Source organism: Homo sapiens, chromosome 2 (genome assembly GCF_000001405.40).
Source record: "Homo sapiens chromosome 2, GRCh38.p14 Primary Assembly".
Taxonomy (NCBI): Eukaryota; Metazoa; Chordata; class Mammalia; order Primates; family Hominidae; genus Homo; species Homo sapiens.
Window position 1 is genome coordinate 201,463,945 of NC_000002.12, and position 19,550 is coordinate 201,483,494.

The window sequence follows — 19,550 nt, forward strand, 5'->3', positions numbered from 1 at the left end:
TTTGTTAAATTTATCTGATGGGATTCTGAATTCCTTCTCTGTGTTATCTTGAAATTTGTTGAACTTCCTCAAAACAGCTATTTCAACTTCTCTGTCTGGAAGGTCACGTATCTCTGTCACTTCGGGATTGGTCACTGGTACCTTACTTTGCTCATTTGGTGAAATCATGTTTTCCTAGATGTTCTTGATGCTTGTGGATGTTCATTAATGTCTGGGCATTGAAGAGTTACGTATTTATCATAGTCTTTGAAGGCTGAACTTATTTGTACCCATCCTTCTTGGGAAGGCTTTCCAAGTATTCACAGGGAATTGAGTATTGTGATCTAAGTCTTTGGTCACTGTAACTCTATCTGCATTAGGGACCACTTCAAGCCCAGCAAAACTGTGACTCTTGCAGACTCACAGAGGTACCATCTTGGTGGTCTTGGGTAAGGTCTGAGAGAATTACCTGGATTACTAGGCAGGGAATCTCGTTTTCTTCCCTTACTTTTCCCCCAAACAGTTTCTCTTTCCATGCTGAGCTGCCTGGAGCTGGGCGAGGGGTGACACAATTACCCCTGTTGCCACCACCACTAGGACTGCACTGGGTCAGACCTGAAGCTCAGCACAGCACTGGGTCTTGCCCCAGGCCTGCAGCCACCACTGCCCAGCTGGATGTTCACTCAAGGATACCAAGGGCTCTTCAGTCACCAGGTGTTGAATCCAGCCAGGCTGTGTCCTTCTCTTCAGGGCAGTGAGCTCCCCACCTGGCCCTGGGTGGGTCCAGAAATGCCTTCTGGGAGCCAGGGCCATGGGTCAGGAACCTTAGGAATCTACTTTGTGCTCTATTCTACTGCAGCTGAGCTGGCACCCAAACCACAGGACAAAGTCCTTCCCATTCTTCCCTCTCCTTTCCTCAGGCAGAAGGAGTCTCTCCTCATGGCCACCATTGTCCCAGGCCCATTGCAGAGTCCTGCCTGGCTATTGCCAGTGTTCACTTGAGGCCCGAGGGCTCTTCTGTCAGCTTGTGGTGAATATTGCCAGGCCTGGGTTTCTCCCTTCAGGGCAGTGGGCTACCCTTTAGCCCAGGGCCAGTCCAGAAGTGCTATCCAGGAGCCAAGGCCTGGAATCAGGGACCCCAGGAGTCTGCTTGGTGCTCTAGCCTACTGTGGCTGAGCTGGTACCCAAGCTGCAAGACCAAGCCCCCTTTACTGTCCCCTCTCCTCTACTCAACCAGAAGGAGCCTCTACCTGTGGCCACCACAGTTGGGAATGTGCTGGTTCACACCTGAAGCCAGCATGGCCCTGAGTTTCACCCAAGGCCCACAGCAGGTACTGCCTGGATACTGTTGATGTTTATTCAAGGCGCAAGGTCTTGGTCAGCAGGTGATGGATCCTGCCAGAACTAGGTCCTTCCCTTCATGGGAGCAGTTTCCCTTCTGGCCCAGGGTGTGTCTAGAAATGTTGTCCAGGAGCTAGGGCTTGGAATGGGGGCCTCAGGACTCTGCCTGGTACCCTATTCTACTGTGGCTGAGCTGGTATCCAAGTTGCAAGACAAAGTCCTCTTTATTCTTTCCTTTCCTCTCCCCTCCTCAAGGGAAAGGAAGGAATCTCCTGGAGCTACAAGCTGCACTGCCTGGGGTTGGAATAGGAGTGACAGAAGCACTCCCTTGGCTGCCCTGACTAGTGTCTCACTAGGTCATGGGCCCCCCAAGTCCACTGGCTCCAAGCCCAGCACAGCACCAGGAATTGCCCTGGAATTGCAGTCCTCATGGCCTAGACTACCTTTCAAGTTTATTTAGGACCCCAGAGGGCCTCAGCCTGTGGTGGCAGACAAGGCTTGCTGGAATTCAGGTTCCAGCTGCTGGGATGGGTGATTCCCCTCTGGCTAAGGCTGATCTAAATGCTCCCTCCTTGGGCACTGGCTGCATTCTTTACTGTGTTGCTCTCTGCTGTGACAGGCAACACTGAGTTCCAGTGCAAAGTCCCACAATCACTGCACTCTCCCTCCCCGGGGGATGCGGGAGGGGAGGCATCAGCTATTCAAGACTGTCTTTCCTACCCTGCTCAGTGCCTCTTTCAGTGATAGGAAGTTAAAAACAGGTACTGTGATAGCTCACCTTATTTTTTATTCTTACAAAGGTGCCTTCTTGTTTGGATAGTTGTTCAATTTGGTGTTCCTGAAGGGTGAGGGAAGATTGCTGGAGGGTTCCATTCAGCCATCTTTATCCACCTCCCTCCCAGTCTGAGTTTTAATTTAAGTAATTCCCTTTGGGTGAGGCAGAAAGGAAAGTGATTCTTGTCTCCATGCTGTTACTGAGAGAGAGGCCTAGAACTAAGCAAACGTTCACAGCTGCCACCTGAATCCTTCAAACCTTCAGGTTGGAGCCTTTTTATAATTTAAGGATTGAAATGTCACATCTCTCTCTGTTAGTAGACTTAGACTAAAATCTTCAGTGAGAGAAGCAGAAGCATAATCTGAAGTCTCTCATGGAAAAATGAATTGGAAAAGTTGTATAATGTAAGTTGACACCAGCTGGAAACTGGTGCCTGATGACTAGAAAAACTTCCTTGTGCGCTCTCTGAGTCATGCTGTAAAACACCATCTGTTGTCTTTTCTTTGGACAACTTGTTCTCCATTGGCCTGGACTTTATAGATAGAATTAAATTTTATGTTAAAATATCATGTTTGGAGGACAGTCTGGTTTTCCAAGTGATTTATGTCTCCTATAACTTCGGAAACCCCTCTATCTGTAGGAAAATTCATTTTCTATAGTTAACCTTTGCAAATGAAAGGCTGTGATGTTTGAGCTGAGATGCTTTTTAAAATAATGCAATTTTAGCATTACAGTGATTCATGAGAGGCCATCTGGTCTAATTTTCAACTAATGTAGGGAGTGTTCTCTACAATATCTCTGAGAGTTCATTGTAGAAATTTAAATAAAAAGAGCTCCATCATAGAAAAATAGTCATCATAGAAAAATAGAAACATACAGAAAGGTATGTTTCACCACAAGTAAAAGTCTGGCAGGATCTCTCTGAAAACACTTCAGAGTGCTATTCATTGGCTTGATTATTGAACTATGATGTAGGGTCTGTTCCTCAGCCTCTTAGGATCATAAACTGGATTTAGTCAGCAAACCTAGAGTGGAGCCATATTTCAGTATCAGATCCACATTAATCAAGCTCATTACAAACCCAGTCTCCCAGTGCCAGAGGAAATGGTGCCCTTACATTGTATTATCAATCCACTCTTATAGAAAAGTTACATGGGAAACCAAATCATAATTAGAAGCAGTTTAATGTATAATGGAGAAGTAATGACAGCTGTCAAAGTACTTGAAATTCATATCACAGTACTTCCTTTCGCTGCAAGCAGACATTTGTGGGCATCAAAACTTTTCTTTTCCTAGCCTTCCAATTGCTGACCATTCCCTCTTCACTTCCAGTTCTTGTACCTCCCTGTAGCTCAACTACTGTCAATGGTGGTCGTCCAACCTCCAAATATATCAATGGAGAGAGGATAATGGAAAGAGGCAGCTTGATGCCTGAGCCACACTTGGATGGCACCGGTTACTCCATATTTCTTAGGCGGAACTGAAATCTACTTCCTGGAGCTTCTATCTGTTGATCTCAGCTCTTCTCGCTGAACAATTGTTTACCCTTCTATATTAGTCTTTTGGCCACTTGCAAATGGCAACTATATATATTCTTAATATTTTCTTTTCCAGATTAAATATTTCCAACTCCTTCATTGTTGCTGGAACCTTCACCAATTTGGTTGGCCTTCTCTAGGCATCACCATTTTACAATCACCATTTTACAATTCCCTCTTAAATTGTGGTGTCTCAATTATCCATGGTGCTCCAGATACTAATCATTTCAGAATACAGTGAAACTCTTGTCTCTTCCAGTCTGCTCAATTTTGCTTCTGTAAATGTAGCTCAATATTGTGCTTTTATTTAACCTTCTCTGTCATGGTATTGACTGAAACCTCTGAGTCATAAACCTGGTATCCTCAATTTTGTATTTAGGCTATTGGTTTTTTGTTTTTTTTTTTAACTTAAGTGTAAGGTTTTGCATTTATCCTTGTAAAATTTTACTGATCTGGGCCCAGTTTTCTAGCTGTTCAGGATGATTGTGAGTCCTGCCTTTTTTTTTTCTTTTTTTTTTTTTTTTTTTTTTTGGTAATTAGCTATGCCCAACAATGCATGATCCATACTTTTTCTTTTTTCAAGCCAGCCTTTTTCAGTTTCAGGAAGTCATTAAAAAGTTTAACAGAGCAAAGGCAAGGACTTTGCCATAATTTTTGCTTTCTATCATCTAACTGGTCAAATGAAAAAGAGAAGTGAGGTTAGTTTGGGATGATTTACTCTTAGTAAATCTGAGTTGTCTTCTTGTGATTACCATGTGGCTTTTTAAAGTGCCCATAATTCACCTATTGAATAATTTGATCTCTGACTTTGCTGGGCAACAGCATCAAGCTTGCCCCTTTGTAGTTTTCTCCCTTTTTGAAAATTGGGTCATTGTTTGCTACTTTTATTCTGGTTTTTCATCTGAGTTCTATCATAGTTGCAAACTTCGTATCCTAAGTGTAATTGCCCTGGGCCTGGAGGTTTGAACCTACTTAAAACAACCTGTTTAGAGCTTTGAATACTTATTTACAACATGTGTCCCTTCTAGTTTAAATAAGACTAATTCCCCAATGGAATAGATGGAAGCAAAATAGAGGCTGATTAGTTGTGATTTTAGTCCATCACCCAGTAACATTATGCCGTTTTTTTCCAAGCCTGTGAATTATAAGCCTTAGCTCATTACATCTCTAGCCTTCCCGACAGGCTTACAGGTTGATATCACTTAAAAAATTTTTAAAGCTGTTATATGTTCTTTCTGTCTCTTTTATGTGGTCATTAAATCTGAGTTTATCTGAAGACTACCTGTTTTAAAGAAACTGAATTGCTTCCATCAGATTGTAAAGAGGCAGAAAAAAAGAGAAACTAAATTGCTTTATTTTGATTTGTTTTCTCATCAGGATTATTTCCAATCGTATAGTAGAATTTCTTTTTACATTCTTTCATTCCTCTTGAACAATAGTCAGCCTTATTTATCTTTAGCCATGGGTTTATAATTCCTTTTTTCCTGCTCTCTTAAAGTTTAGGGAACATTTAATCCTGTCACTGTTTCAAACTCCATCTCTGTCTCTTGATTAAAAAGAGCCAAGAATGTGAAAAGGAGTTAACACAATTCCTAGCACATAGTAATGTTATTTTTCCCCTTTCTTCCTTCCCCTGCCATCTGTCTGTAGAGGCTCCTAAGTGTCCTTTGGAGTAGTTATGTCCATTGGGAGACCCTCATGGTTATCATATGAAGCCAGTAGTTTAGGCTTCTTTTTCATACATCCATGTTATTTCACTGTCACTGTATTCAGGTGCAAACCTGACTCTCACTCCAAAGCACACCATGAGACCTCCTATCAGTACTTGGTCATTCACTTAGGAGGTCTGTCTTCTTTGATTTTTCTTTCTGACCTCCCATCTGATTCATCTTGCAAAAAACTTCATCAGCAATTTTAATAGGCTGCAGTCTGGAAACTGTTCCTTGACTGTTAACATCTTCAGTAGCAGAGCATGTACCTTGTGAAATATGGCTCTAGCTTAAAGCAAGAGCACAAGCATAGAATATCCCTCACAGGTCCCTGCAGCTCTTCGCTTGGTACATTTGTCAGCTATCCTGAAGAATTAACATTCTTCGCAACTCCTAAACATTTTACTGGAAATTACACTGGGAAGTATTCCTTGCTATCTGTAAATCTGCTTTTCCTGCCCTCTCCATAGGCTAACAGCTTTCTACCTAACATCAATGAGCAATTGGTAAATTCATTTTAGATCTTAAAACAGTGTCTTAAGCCACCTTGCAGTACCTTCCTAATGAGCACCTCTGTGTTTGAAAATATAACACCAGTGTTTTATATTAGGGCAGGGGGACCAAGAAGTTCATCTATTTTGTTTTTATCTTTAAAAACAAATGCAGGTTGATGAGCCAACCCTTTCCTGGTCACGTCCATCCACTAGAGCCAGTGAAGTACTATGTTCCACCAACGTTTCTCACTATGAGCTCCAAGTAGAAATAGGTAATAATCCTGAATTTCTAATTGACCCTTCAGTGCTAGAAATTAAATTGATGACAAAAAGATTATTTTGTGGGCAAGTGTTTTTCTGTTGTTACCTCCAGCATAAAACTAGATGCTAATTGTGTCAGTCAAGTGGATTCAATTAATTTATGTCTATCTTAAAATAATGACTCAGATTTTTTCAAGATTACTGTCTAGAACGTTTACTTTTCCATTGAAGTACATTTAGATGAGGAAGACACTAAATACTTATTATTTGTGTGTTTATTGTGGGAAGCATCTATTTTATGGGTATAATTTCTACTGGGTATGAAGTAAAATCAAGTCATCTAAATCTTTTCAGTCACAATCCTTTAAATTGCTTCTCAGTTTAAAAATTTATCTAAAATATCATTTGTAGTAGAAAGCTTTTTCAGTTAAGTGTGGAATAGGATGGGTTATTGTTTATAGCTTTACATATGTGAAACATTTGCTCTGAATATTTAGAAACATCTATTAAACACTACACACCGGTGATTGTGTTAGGTGCTAGGGAAACAAAGCATGGTAGAACACTTGGAATTGACATCATCTCTGGGAAGATGAAGACACAATATAGCTTCGTTTTATGCACTGGAGGGTACTTTAGTAGAGGTATGTCCTAAGTGTTATGGGAACAGAGAAGATGGAGCATACAACGAACCACCTCTGGGAGTTAAGAGAGATGGCAAAAAGGGGCTGGATCTTGAATGAGGAAGAGTTTGCTAGATATTCTAGTCATAGGTTTTGTTATAGACAACATAAACAATCCTGGCTAACTTAAGTGAAAAAGGAATATTTGAACAGTGCTGCTAACTCACAGAATTATTGGCTAGAGAACTAGGCTTGGAAGAAGCCAAGAGAAGCTGCATGACAAGGACCAGGACTGTGGAATAGGAGCAGCCTAGTGAATGTACTGCCCGCCACCAGACGCTGGCCCCCTGCTGATAGCTCTGACGACTGCTGCTGCTTTGTCCTTCACTCCGTACTCCAGTTGGCCAAGCATAGGTCGCATGCCAGGGTCAAGGAGACTAAGGGAGAGTAAGGATCTGACCTTTTTGAAATAACACAAAGTGGCAAATGCCCCAAAATTAGAAAGGAGTTTCAAATGGTGCCAATTCTAAAAAGGTAAAAACATGTTTACCTCAGTAAATGACTGAGGAAGGATGGTTAGGGGAGAATACCATATAGTTCCTCTGTGACTGCAAGTGGGAACAAGGGGAGAGTAGGCAGTGGTAGGAGATGAATCTGGAAAGGCAGGTTTGGAACACGTTGTGAAGGACTTCATGTGGTTGGATTTAGAATGGCCTCCACAACCTACCCTCCTTATTACTCAGAGGATTTAAGGTGGAGATTTGGAATTGTCCTTCCGCTAGAGAGACATTGTGGAATCATGATGACAATAATAGCATCTAACAGGCATTATGCTGAACATTATGTATTTTTTTCTTTAACCCTTTGCCACTCCCATTTCGCAGATGAGGATACCGAGGCTCTGAGTCATACAGTTAGTGATTTGAAACCAGATCTTTCTGACTGTAGGATCTAAGCTCTCAGCTGCTGCAGGACCTGCTATTGATAAAATGCCAAATTTAAAACAACTCAGGCAACAGTCAGGAAGATGTAGTAGATCAGCAATGCACAACCAGAAGTGTCATCTTCATTACCTGTGTCTTTTTTAAAATTACAGCACCTATATTCCATCACAGAGCTACTGAACCAGGGTTTCTTGGGAGTAGGGCCAAGGCAGAGGCATTTTGCAGTAGTTCCCTCAGTAATTCTGGTGTGTGCCCTGGCTGAGAATTCAGGGCATATGAGGGAGTCACTGCATACATCCAGGGCAACAGGACAGGGCTCAAACTAAGTCAGTGATGCTGACACTGAGGGGAGGAGACGAATTTGAGATTAACTTCATTTCAAAAATAAAACTGACAAAATTTGGTGACCATGGAGAGAGGGAGGTAACTAATATTTATTAGGTGGCTGCCAGCAGATGCCACTCTAGGTGTTTTACATTTAAAAAGCTGATGATATCAAATGCTGGTGAGTATGTCAGGCAGTGACAGCTCTTATACATTGTTTGTGGGAATATGAAATGATTCAGCCACTTTTGAAAACAATTTGGCAACTTCTTATAACGTTAAGCATATGTTTATCACATGACCCAGCAATCTCACTCGCAGATATTTGCCAAAGATAAATGAAAACACATGTCTACTTAAAAACCTGTATAGGAATGTTTTTGGCAGCTTTATAGTCACCAAAAACTGAAAACAAGCTAATAGCCACCATCAGCATTATAAATGGATAAATAAATTGTGGTATAGCCATACAATTGTTTATTGCTCAGCAATAGAAATTAATTGCTGATACATACAGCAACGTGGATGAGTCTCAGAAGCATATGCCAAGTGAAAGAAGCTAAACACAAAAGAAGTTGACAACTGTGTTCTTTTTGATACCATTTATGTGACAAAAATCAGATTGGTGGTTGCCAGGGACTGGGAGTGGGGATGGGATTGCCGAGTAGCATTCCATTGTGTGAGTATATCGCAATTGGTTTATCAAGTCACAATTTTAGTCATCATAATAGATATGTAATGGTGTGTCACTGTTTTAATTTGCATTTCTCTATCTTGAGCATCTTTTCATAGGCATATTGGCTGTTCCTATATCTTATTTTGTGGATTGCCTGTTTAATCCTCTGCCTGTTTTTTAATTGGATTGCTTGATAAGTATTATTAATACTTTGAATCAGTAGTGTGCCTTTTCATTTTCTTAACAGTACTTTTTGAAGAGTAAGACTTTTCAATTTTGATGATGTCTAAATTGTCAGTTTTTTTTCTTCTTTGGTTACTAACATGAGTTTTATGTCTGATTACAGGAAGAGGATTTGACAACTTGACTTCTGTCCATCTTGCACGGCATACTCCCACAGGAACACTGGTAACTATAAAAATTACAAATCTGGAAAACTGCAATGAAGAACGCCTGAAAGCTTTACAGGTAACAATATGAAGAAAATGATACACAGTTGGGCCTCTGTATCCACTGGTTCCACATCTGCAGATTCAACCAATTGTGAATAGAAAATATATATTTTAAAATAAATAATACAATAAAAAATAGTACAAATAAAACACAGCATAACTATTTACATAGCATTTACATTGTATTAGGCATTATAAGTAACCTAGAAATGATTTAAAGTATATGGGAGGATGTGCATAGCTTATATGCGAATATTATGCCATTTTATACAAGGGACTTGAGCATTTTTAGATTTTAGTACATTTATGGGGTGGTGTGTAGGAGGCGGTCAGGGGATGCAGTCCTGGAACCAATGCTCCATGGATACTAAGGGGTGATTGTATTTAATATAATGTTTATTTGAGGAGATTACATCTGTAAGAATTTTCTCCCCCAAACTAATAGTTCTTCTGTTAGGGAAATACAGATTTCTTCTAATTAACATGCAGTTACAGAATTGGAAAGAATACTTGGAAGCCAGGTTCATTATATGAAAGAACAAATATATTCAAACTTTGGTAACTGCTGCTCCTTCAAATGAATATCATATTCAAAATGCTAGTCTGGAGTTTTACAATACTCCTAGTCAGTCCCATCCTAAATAGTCACATAGGGAAATGGAAGAAATCAAAAACAGTTTCCTTTTCATCCAGTTAAGCAAAATTAATTTCTGAATAACAAATTTTGACAGAATTGCATTTCAGGTATCTTATAATACCATTTTTATCGTCACTAATCATTTTTTATATAAAGGGGGAAAGGATTTTATTTGGATATTGTTCCAATTCTTTTTTTTTTTTTTTTTTTCGAGACGGAGTCTTGCTCAGTCGCCCAGGCTGGAGTGCAGTGGCGCGATCTTGGCTCACTGCAAGCTCCGCCTCCCGGGTTCACGCCATTCTCCTGCCCCAGCCTCCCGAGTAGCTGGGACTACAGGCGCCCACCACCACGTCCAGCTAACTTTTTGTATTTTTAGTAGAGACGGGGTTTCACCGTGTTAGCCAGGATGGTCTCGATCTCCTGATGTCGTGATCTGCCTGCCTCGGCCTCCCAAAGTGCTGGGATTACAGGCGTGAGCCACCGTGCCCGGCCCCAATTCTTAAAATATTTATATGTGCACATGTATATTACACAAACAAAAAAAGACTAGGAGAAACTATACCAAAATGTTAACAGTGGCTCTCTGTGAGGTAGCAATAGAGGGATTTTTATGTATTTTTAAATGTTTTTATGATAAGAACATAGAACAGTTGTTAAGAGTATGACCCTAGAGGGAAACTAAGTTCACATTCTACTTCCACTTCTTTTTATTAATTGCATGCTTTTGGACAGGTTTTCTAACTTATTTTTAAGTGTTGTCTTCTGAAAAATGGGAATCATAATATCACATACTTTGTGGAGTGGTTGTGAGATTTAAATAGATAAAAGCACTAAGAACAGTGCTTTCACTAATAAGCACCCTTGAGTATTAGCTGCCACGACCGCCATTTTCATCATAAGGAAAAAACAGTTGTTTTTAAATGTCTTGTCTCTTGTGTGTTTATCCTAGAAAGCCGTGATTCTATCCCACTTTTTCCGGCATCCCAATATTACAACTTATTGGACAGTTTTCACTGTTGGCAGCTGGCTTTGGGTTATTTCTCCATTTATGGCCTATGGTAAGAATGCTGGTTTTAAATAAATTAACTTAGCCTAGATGTTATAATTATATAGATGAGTTGGGATTTTAGATTTATGATTTGCCACATTTAATTTATAAGTCTAATGACTGATTTTAGATTTCATGGTATATTTCTATATCTGGTACATGTTGAATTTTAGTCTGCAGAAAAAAGTAAGAATTGGTATGATGATCAGTGAACCACCACTGCTTTTCCAAGAATTCCGTGCCTTTGCACAAGCTGTGTCTTCCCTTCAGCTTCCTTCCCCTCTTTTAATGGAGACCTACTGTTATTCTGCAGGAAGAAGTTGTTTTTCCACCTCTGCCCCCCATCCCTGTCCGTTTCACTGCATTGTAAACTATTTCACTGTATTAGAAACATCTTTGTGTGTGTCCATGTCCCTCACTGGACTTGTGCTTCTTGAGGGCCGGGATCATTTATATATTTTTTATTTGTGGTGTCCCCAGGTGCTCACGTAGTACTTAGCACAAAGTAGTGTTCAATAATTGTGTTGAATAAATAGTGAATGGATTCTAGAGCTTTGATTTTTAGGACAGCTTTTGTGAATTGCTTCTGGATTTAAGAAAAAAAAAAATATATATATATACACACAGAATGTATTTTTATTCAATAATATTGACAAATCATTAATTCTCTTCCCTAATCTCTAAAGTGTCATTACAAAAAATTGTTTAAAGATTCTTGAAAGAAAATCATGTTTGTGTGGGAAAGTGTTGTTTGGGTTAGACTCCAAAAAGTAACAGGTATGTTTGTGTTTATGGTTGAAAAGAACATTAAAATACAGCTGGAAGCAAAATCACTTTCAATGTTCATCTAAGGATTTTAGGGGTTTCTTTCAGGTTCAGCAAGTCAACTCTTGAGGACCTATTTTCCTGAAGGAATGAGTGAAACTTTAATAAGAAACATTCTCTTTGGAGCCGTGAGAGGGTTGAACTATCTGCACCAAAATGGCTGTATTCACAGGTATTTACTTATTTGTATTTATTAAATGAAATAATTTTAATGGAAGAACTCTTTGAAGGAGGTTTTAGGAAGGAGCAGTTGAATATTAGAAAAAAGGGATAGGAAACTTGTAAGTGAAAATTGAGGGAGGAAGGGACCATTAGGTGCAGTGGATTGCTTACATTTTATGTCCATTCGCCAAACATGTTCAGACCACATCCTCTGTGCCAAGCAGTTATTGGGATTGGGGTGGAGTGCCTGCCCTCATGGAGCTCACAGTCTCAATCTAATGAGGATGTTCAGGAGATGAGCTGTAGGAAATGGGATCCTAGTTAGCTGGGTGTTTTTCGTTTTGTTTTTGTTTAAGCAAATGAAGAGCTTCATTATCTGCTTTCCATCTTATGCATAAATTGGAATTAAACTTTTCTTTGATTTCTTATTTTGCAGTACCTTGAGATTATCATCCTAAATATCACTTCTCTTGTTACCAAAGTGTATATGCAAAAGTGATTGAATGTTAAAAACAGTGCTATTCTAAGATATACTGTGACTTTGTCTTACTTTTTAATTAAGTTACTTTTAAATAAGCTTGCTTTCCTATTGTTTGTTTCAATCCCCTTAAAGCTTTTTGTCTTACTTTTTTTTTTTTTTTTTAGCAAAATTCTAGTTAACCAAGGATTTCCAACACACTATATTCTGGTTAACTGAGGTTTCATTATATGTCACCAGATGATTGGCCATCCTCCTCTGTTAAGTTTCTAAATTCAGTGTTTGGTATCGAAAAACAAGGCTCTTATAATTTATCTGACAATTAAAGGAAATGTATAAGATATATTTTTATAAATGATGTATGAGAGACTTATTGGATAGTATTACATTTAGCTTTATAACCTTATATTTCAAATATTGTTTGATTTTTTTTTAGATAGCTTATTAGGTGTTTTGTAACAGCATTCAAAAATAGTGAAATTGGCCAGGCATGGTGGCTCATGCCTGTAATCCCAGCACTTTGAGAGGCCGAGGCGTGCAGATCACTTGAGGTCATGAGTTTGAGACTAGCCTGGCCAAGATGGTGAAACCCTGTCTCTACTAAAAATACAAAAAAAAAAAATTAGCCAGGTGTGGTGGCACACACCTGCAGTCCCAGCTACTCAGGAGGCTGAGGCAGGAGAATCACTTGAACCCAGGAGGTGAAGGTTGCAGTAAGCCAGGATCACTCCACTGCACTCCAGCCTGGGCCACAGAGTGAGATTCTGTCTCAAAAAAAAAAAAAAAAAAAAAAGTGAAATTAATTATTTGATTCCATTTCTTGTTTGAAAAAATATTATCAGTTTTTTTTTTTTTTTTTTTTTTTTTTGAGACAGACAGAGTCTCACTCTGTCCCCCAGGCTGGAGTGCAGTGGTGCAATCTTGGCTCACTGCAAGCTCCACCTCCTGGGTTCATGCCATTCTCCTGCCTCAGCCTCCCAAGTAGCTGGGACTACAGGCACCTGCCACCACGCCTGGCTAATTTTTTATATTTTTAGTAGAGACGGGGTTTCACCATGTTATCCAGGATGGCCTCGATCTCCTGACCTCGTGATCTGCCCGCCTCAGCCTCCCAAAGTGCTGGGATTACAGGCGTGAGCCACCGCACCCGGCTATCAGTTCTTAACACGTAGCTTTCAATTATATCTTTACTTGTGTTGGTGCTGTAGTAAGTAGCTGAAAGAATTCCTATTCCCTGAACATTTCCTGTGTAAACAGCAGTTTTGCAGTACTGTTTTGCAGTTTATACTGCTGTTTTGTAAAGGGTATTTAATTTCCAAGAGAATATATGGATTTGTTCCTGCCAGATTTTTATTCTTTCTTCATTGGCCAGTTTCCTGTTACTTAGCATTGTTTCTTTTTGTTCTAGGAGTATTAAAGCCAGCCATATCCTCATTTCTGGTGATGGCCTAGTGACCCTCTCTGGCCTGTCCCATCTGCATAGTTTGGTTAAGCATGGACAGAGGCATAGGGCTGTGTATGATTTCCCACAGTTCAGCACATCAGTGCAGCCGTGGCTGAGTCCAGAACTACTGAGACAGGTCAGGTGTGGCCGTTGGATTGGGTTGTCTGTGTCTCAAGTGTCTTCTGAGTTTGGCTAAAGTACAGTTGTGTCTTTATATTTGGATTGGTGAATGGCCTTCTGCAAGACTTTATTTCTCTTTCTTGTCAAAATTATGTTAGGAAATTAAATACCATATATGAAGTGTGTCTTGATTTGTCGCTTATGGGTTTCTTTTCCATTATTGTTCACCATTCTTTATCAAAAAAGCACATGTGTATAACTTTTGGTTAACTTATTTGCACTAAAAGACTTCAAATTAATTGTGTCCTACAGGATTTACATGGGTATAATGTGAAGTCAGATATTTACAGTGTTGGGATTACAGCATGTGAATTAGCCAGTGGGCAGGTGCCTTTCCAGGACATGCATAGAACTCAGGTAAGTGCTGCTAAAATCCCTGAGCTACTTGCCTTTCATAAGACTGCTTACATTCTAGATAATTTCTGTTAAACATGTTTGCTATAGACTCTTAGGAGCTTTATTGTTGTTACTGTTTTAATATTTTGCCTGAAAAGTGTTGAAGGAAAGTTCTGTTTCTTTTAGATGCTGTTACAGAAACTGAAAGGTCCTCCTTATAGCCCATTGGATATCAGTATTTTCCCTCAATCAGAATCCAGAATGAAAAATTCCCAGTCAGGTGTAGACTCTGGGATTGGAGAAAGTGTGCTTGTCTCCAGTGGAACTCACACAGTAAATAGTGACCGATTACACACACCATCCTCAAAAACTTTCTCTCCTGCCTTCTTTAGCTTGGTACAGCTCTGTTTGCAACAAGATCCTGAGAAAAGGTAATATTGATCTCTTTTAAATAGCACAAAATGTACATGTTTTACATTTTATAGAAGCTTTGTAACATTGCCCTTCCAGGAGAATACAAATCTTTTGATCAAAATATTGTCTGCTCTAGAAAATATCAATGCTAAGAACAATTAGTGGGAACAAGCAAATGAGAAGAATACTGGATTCAAAATCAGAAGAGGCTGGGTGCGGTGGCTCACACCTGTAATCCCAGAACTTTGGGAGGCCGAGGCGGGTGGATTGCCTGAGGTCAGGAGTTCAAGACCAGCCTGGCCAACATGGTGAAACCCCGTCTCTACTAAAAATACAAAAATTAGCCGGTGTGGTGGCATGCACCTGTAGTCCCAGCTACTCGGGAGGCTGAGAGAGGAGAATTGCTTGAACCCAGTAAGCAGAGGTTGCAGTGAGCCGAGATCATGCCACTGCACTGTAACCTAGGTGACAGAGCGAGACTCCATCTCAAAAGAAAAAAAAAAAATCAGAAGAGTTGGGCTCCAGTCTCAGCTGTATCATTTTCTAACTGATTTTTACAATAAAAATGAGAGTAAAAATCAGTTACTCTTTCTAGACATTAATTAGCACATTTACGTTAAGACTCTAAGTAGTATAAAATGTAAATTGCTGCTACCCTACTAAGTTACTGTCAGTAAATACTGTGTGCAGTAAATGTTGAGTATGGATTAATTGAAGGATACCTCTACAATTATTTCCTTTAGTCAAGGTTGTAGCTAAGAATTGGGCTTCTGACATACATTCTTTTTAATCTTTTTCGTATTGGGTTTTATAGCACTAAACCTAATTTCTAACATATTTTTACACCTGAAATCTACATTCTAATATAAAGGTTTTTTTTTTATAACTTTCTTAAAAATTTCAGGCCATCAGCAAGCAGTTTATTGTCCCATGTTTTCTTCAAACAGGTGAGCTGATCTATCATCCGTTGTCTCGATGTTTTTAATTACTATTAAAAAGTCACTTTATTTTGTTGGCTTGATGAGATATTTTGGTTACCAAGGTTCTTACTAATAACTTTGTTACAAAATAAAGTTAAAAACAAGAAAACTTTTGGTAGTTCAATTATAGACTTTCTAAAATACTTTCATTCTTCAAAACAGAATGAGTAAAAATAAAATGGACTATCATCACATTACTGATGCTTGGTGTATATTTTGATTAATTTAGAGACATTTTCTATGTTGGCTAGAAATGATGAAAGGGCAAAGTAACTCTGATAAGAAGTCAGTTTCTTTGGCTCTTCTTCCTGTTTTCAGATGACCAGAATCAAAGGCAGTTTTAGGGGAAATACCTGAAAACAATTTTAAACACATTTAACATAAATTCTTTAAAAGTTATTTATTGCTAACAAAACTGATATATTGAAATGATATATCAACAGCCTTATTTTGAGTTTCTTTAACAGATGAAAGAAGAAAGCCAGGATTCAATACTTTCACTGTTGCCTCCTGCTTATAACAAGCCATCAATATCATTGCCTCCAGTGTTACCTTGGACTGAGCCAGAATGTGATTTTCCTGATGAAAAAGACTCATACTGGGAATTCTAGGGCTGCCAAATCATTTTATGTCCTATATACTTGACACTTTCTCCTTGCTGCTTTTTCTTCTGTATTTCTAGGTACAAATACCAGAATTATACTTGAAAATACAGTTGGTGCACTGGAGAATCTATTATTTAAAACCACTCTGTTCAAAGGGGCACCAGTTTGTAGTCCCTCTGTTTCGCACAGAGTACTATGACAAGGAAACATCAGAATTACTAATCTAGCTAGTGTCATTTATTCTGGAATTTTTTTCTAAGCTGTGACTAACTCTTTTTATCTCTCAATATAATTTTTGAGCCAGTTAATTTTTTTCAGTATTTTGCTGTCCCTTGGGAATGGGCCCTCAGAGGACAGTGCTTCCAAGTACATCTTCTCCCAGATTCTCTGGCCTTTTTAATGAGCTATTGTTAAACCAACAGGCTAGTTTATCTTACATCAGACCCTTTTCTGGTAGAGGGAAAATGTTTGTGCTTTCCCTTTTTCTTCTGTTAATACTTATGGTAACACCTAACTGAGCCTCACTCACATTAAATGATTCACTTGAAATATATACAGAAATTGTAATTTGCTTTTTTTTAAACAAGGGGGCTAAAGTAACACTTTCCTACTTATGTAAATTATAGATCCTAAATTCACGCACCCCGTGGGAGCTCAATAAAGATTTACTGAATTGAGTTTATGCTTTTATTTATTTTCCTTGCATAGTCTGACAGAGCTAATATACAGATTCTGATTTGTTTTGCCAAGAAAAGCCCTTTCTCAAGCAGATTTATTTACATAATCTATAATCAACTGAGTATTTGATTAAATGGAGGCAGAAGGCATTCTGGCCTTTTGTATGGTTATTGCTCCTGTAGGAGATACAACATATGAGGGCATAGAGGTCTTAATTAATTAATATTTCCTAATTAGAAAAGAGACTCTGCCATGTCTCAAAAAGAATACATAGTTTGGAGGTGTGGTAAACTGGGACCTACTTCAGTTGATTTTCTTAATTTATACAATCTTATTTATATTACATTAAAAGTTATTTTAAAATGATTACCTCAGGACTAAAAAATTAAAAAGACAAATAATATACAAATCCATAGGCGATTTCAAGCACAATTATCTTCATGTTTATTGACTGGACCCCCTCAAGAATGAAGGTTTGGGTTACTCCATCCGTTAAGCCACCAAGACCCACCAAAGTGAAAGAATTTAAAATGGACAGTGGAAAAGGGAGAAGATGAAGACCGCTGAGGCCCTAAGAGCAACTCTAGTGGTAAGGGCTATAGTTCATCCTACTAACCTCCCCCTTCTAAATTTCCCTTCCGTAAGAGAGGCCCACAGAGACCTTAGAGGTCTTTCAAATCTGTGTGGAGGTTCTCCTGAATGTGTGTAGTTTAAAAATTGGACCATAGAGGGCCCGAAATGGTGCTTCTCAGATCTTCTACTATGGGGTGTGTTAGGGTACTCCAGAGAAATAGCCAACAGAATCGATGTGTGTATATAATATATCTATATTTTATATACATACATACATAAACTGATTTATTATAAGGAATTGGTTCATGCGATTGTGGAGGCTGACAAGTCCAAAGATCTGCCAGGTGAGTTAGCAAGCTGGACATCCAGAAGAGCTGATAGTGTAGTTCTCATCCAAAGGTTGTCAGACTCAAGACCCAGGAAGAGTCAGTGTTTCAGTTTGAGTCCAAAGGCAGTAAAAAGCCAATGTCCCAGTTCAAATGCATTCAGGCAGGAGGAATTCTCTTTTACTTGGGGGAAGTTTAGCCTTCCTCTTCTATTCAGGCCTTCAATTGATTGGATGAGGTCCACTCATATTAGAGAGTGCAATCTGCTTCACTTAGTCGACCGATTTAAATGTTAGTCTGATCCAGAAACACCGTGTGATGGTTAATATTAAGTGTCAACTTGATTGGATTGAAGGATGTCTAGATAGCTGATAACACAGTGGTCCCAACCTTTTTGGCACCAGTTTTGTGGTATACAGTTTTACCATGGGGTGGGGGATGGTTTCAGGATGAAACTGTTCCATCTCAGATCAGGCATTAGATTCTCATAAGGAGCAGCACGACCTAGATCACTTGTGTGTGAGTTCACAATAGGGTTGGTGCTCCTATGAGAATTTAATGTGGCCGCTGATCTGACAGGAGGCAGAACTCAGGCGGTAATGCTCACCCACCCTGCTGCTCATCTGCTGTGACGCTGGGTTCCCAACAGGCCACTGACCCGTATGGGTCCACAGCGGGGTTTGGGGACTCCTGTGGTAAAGTATTGTTTCTGGGTGTGTCTATGAGGGTGTTGCCAGAGGAGATTGACGTTTGAGTCAGTGGACTGGGAGAGGAAGACCCACCCTCAATGTAGGTGGGCACCATGCAGTCAGCTGCCAAACGGCTAGATGGCGGCCAGAAGAGGGATAACCTTGCTTGCTGAGCCTTGTGGATTTCATCTTTCTTCCATGCTGGATGCTTCCTTCCACTCCTCCTGCCCTTGGACATCAGACTCTAGGTTCTTTGGCCTTCGGACTCTGGGAGTTGCACAAGGGCCTCCTGGGGACTTTTGTGCCTTCAGCCACAGACCGAGGGTTGCACTGTTGGCTTTGCTGCTTTTGAGGCTTTTGGAATTGGATGGAGCAACTGCTGGCTTCTTTCTTCCTCAGCTAGCAGATGGCCTACTGCAGGACTTCACCTTGTGATAGTGTGAGCCAATTCTCCCTAGTAAACTCCATTTCATATATTCATTAGTTCTGTCCCTCTGGAGAACCCTAATACACATCCTCACAGAGACACTCAGAATAATGTTATTTTTTGTTTGTTTGAGATGGAGTCTTGCTCCGTCGCCCAGGCTGGAGTGCAGTGGCATGATCTCAGCTCACTGTAACCTCTGCCTCCCGGGTTCAAGTGATTCTCCTGCCTCAGCCTCCCAAGTAGCTGGGATTACAGGCTCCCATCACCATGCCCAGCTAATTTTTGCATTTTTAGTAGAGATGGGGTTTCACCATGTTGGCCAGGCTGGTCTAGAACTCCTGACCTCGGACTCCCAAAGTGCTGGGACTACAGGCATTCAGAATAATGTTTGACCAAGTATCTGGGCACCTGTGGCCCAGTACAGTTGACACACAAAATCAACCATCACCATGGGTATCACCATGAGTGATGACTTCACCCTGTGAGTGCTTTCTTAAATTTTGTGCCTCAGGCTCCTTGCTTGCTGTATTTCCAATGGCTGCTGTAACAAATTGCCACAAACTTAGTGGCTTAAGCAACACAAATTTATTATTCTGAAGTTCTGGTCCAGAAGTTTGAAATCAGTCTTACTG

General features: G+C 39.8%; 1 protein-coding gene across 3 annotated transcripts in view, besides 1 other annotated feature; it reads left to right on the forward strand.

Annotated features, from left to right (window-relative positions):
• STRADB (STE20 related adaptor beta) overlaps positions 1-16,902 on the forward strand; it is a 29,107-nt gene extending 12,205 nt beyond the window's left edge. Inside the window, exons 4-12 of one of the 3 annotated variants that reach the window (NM_001206864.2) lie at positions 6,009-6,108; positions 9,011-9,132; positions 10,703-10,811; positions 11,675-11,798; positions 13,675-13,846; positions 14,143-14,247; positions 14,413-14,657; positions 15,545-15,587; positions 16,064-16,902. In NM_001206864.2, the coding sequence (NP_001193793.1) occupies positions 6,009-6,108; positions 9,011-9,132; positions 10,703-10,811; positions 11,675-11,798; positions 13,675-13,846; positions 14,143-14,247; positions 14,413-14,657; positions 15,545-15,587; positions 16,064-16,084 (1,041 nt within the window). In that variant the 3' untranslated portion in view covers positions 16,085-16,902. The remainder of the gene's footprint in view (positions 1-6,008; positions 6,109-9,010; positions 9,133-10,702; positions 10,812-11,674; positions 11,799-13,674; positions 13,847-14,142; positions 14,248-14,412; positions 14,658-15,544; positions 15,588-16,063) is intronic. The other 2 variants (NM_018571.6, XM_005246669.3) reach the window with 2 other exon arrangements.
• Positions 738-1,237: an enhancer, noted in NCBI's record as "H3K27ac hESC enhancer chr2:202329405-202329904 (GRCh37/hg19 assembly coordinates)". NCBI's record gives its function as "activates a minimal SCP1, AML or CMV promoter by ChIP-STARR-seq in primed H9 embryonic stem cells {active_cell/tissue: H9 hESC(primed)}" and the evidence as "EXISTENCE:reporter gene assay evidence [ECO:0000049][PMID:30033119]".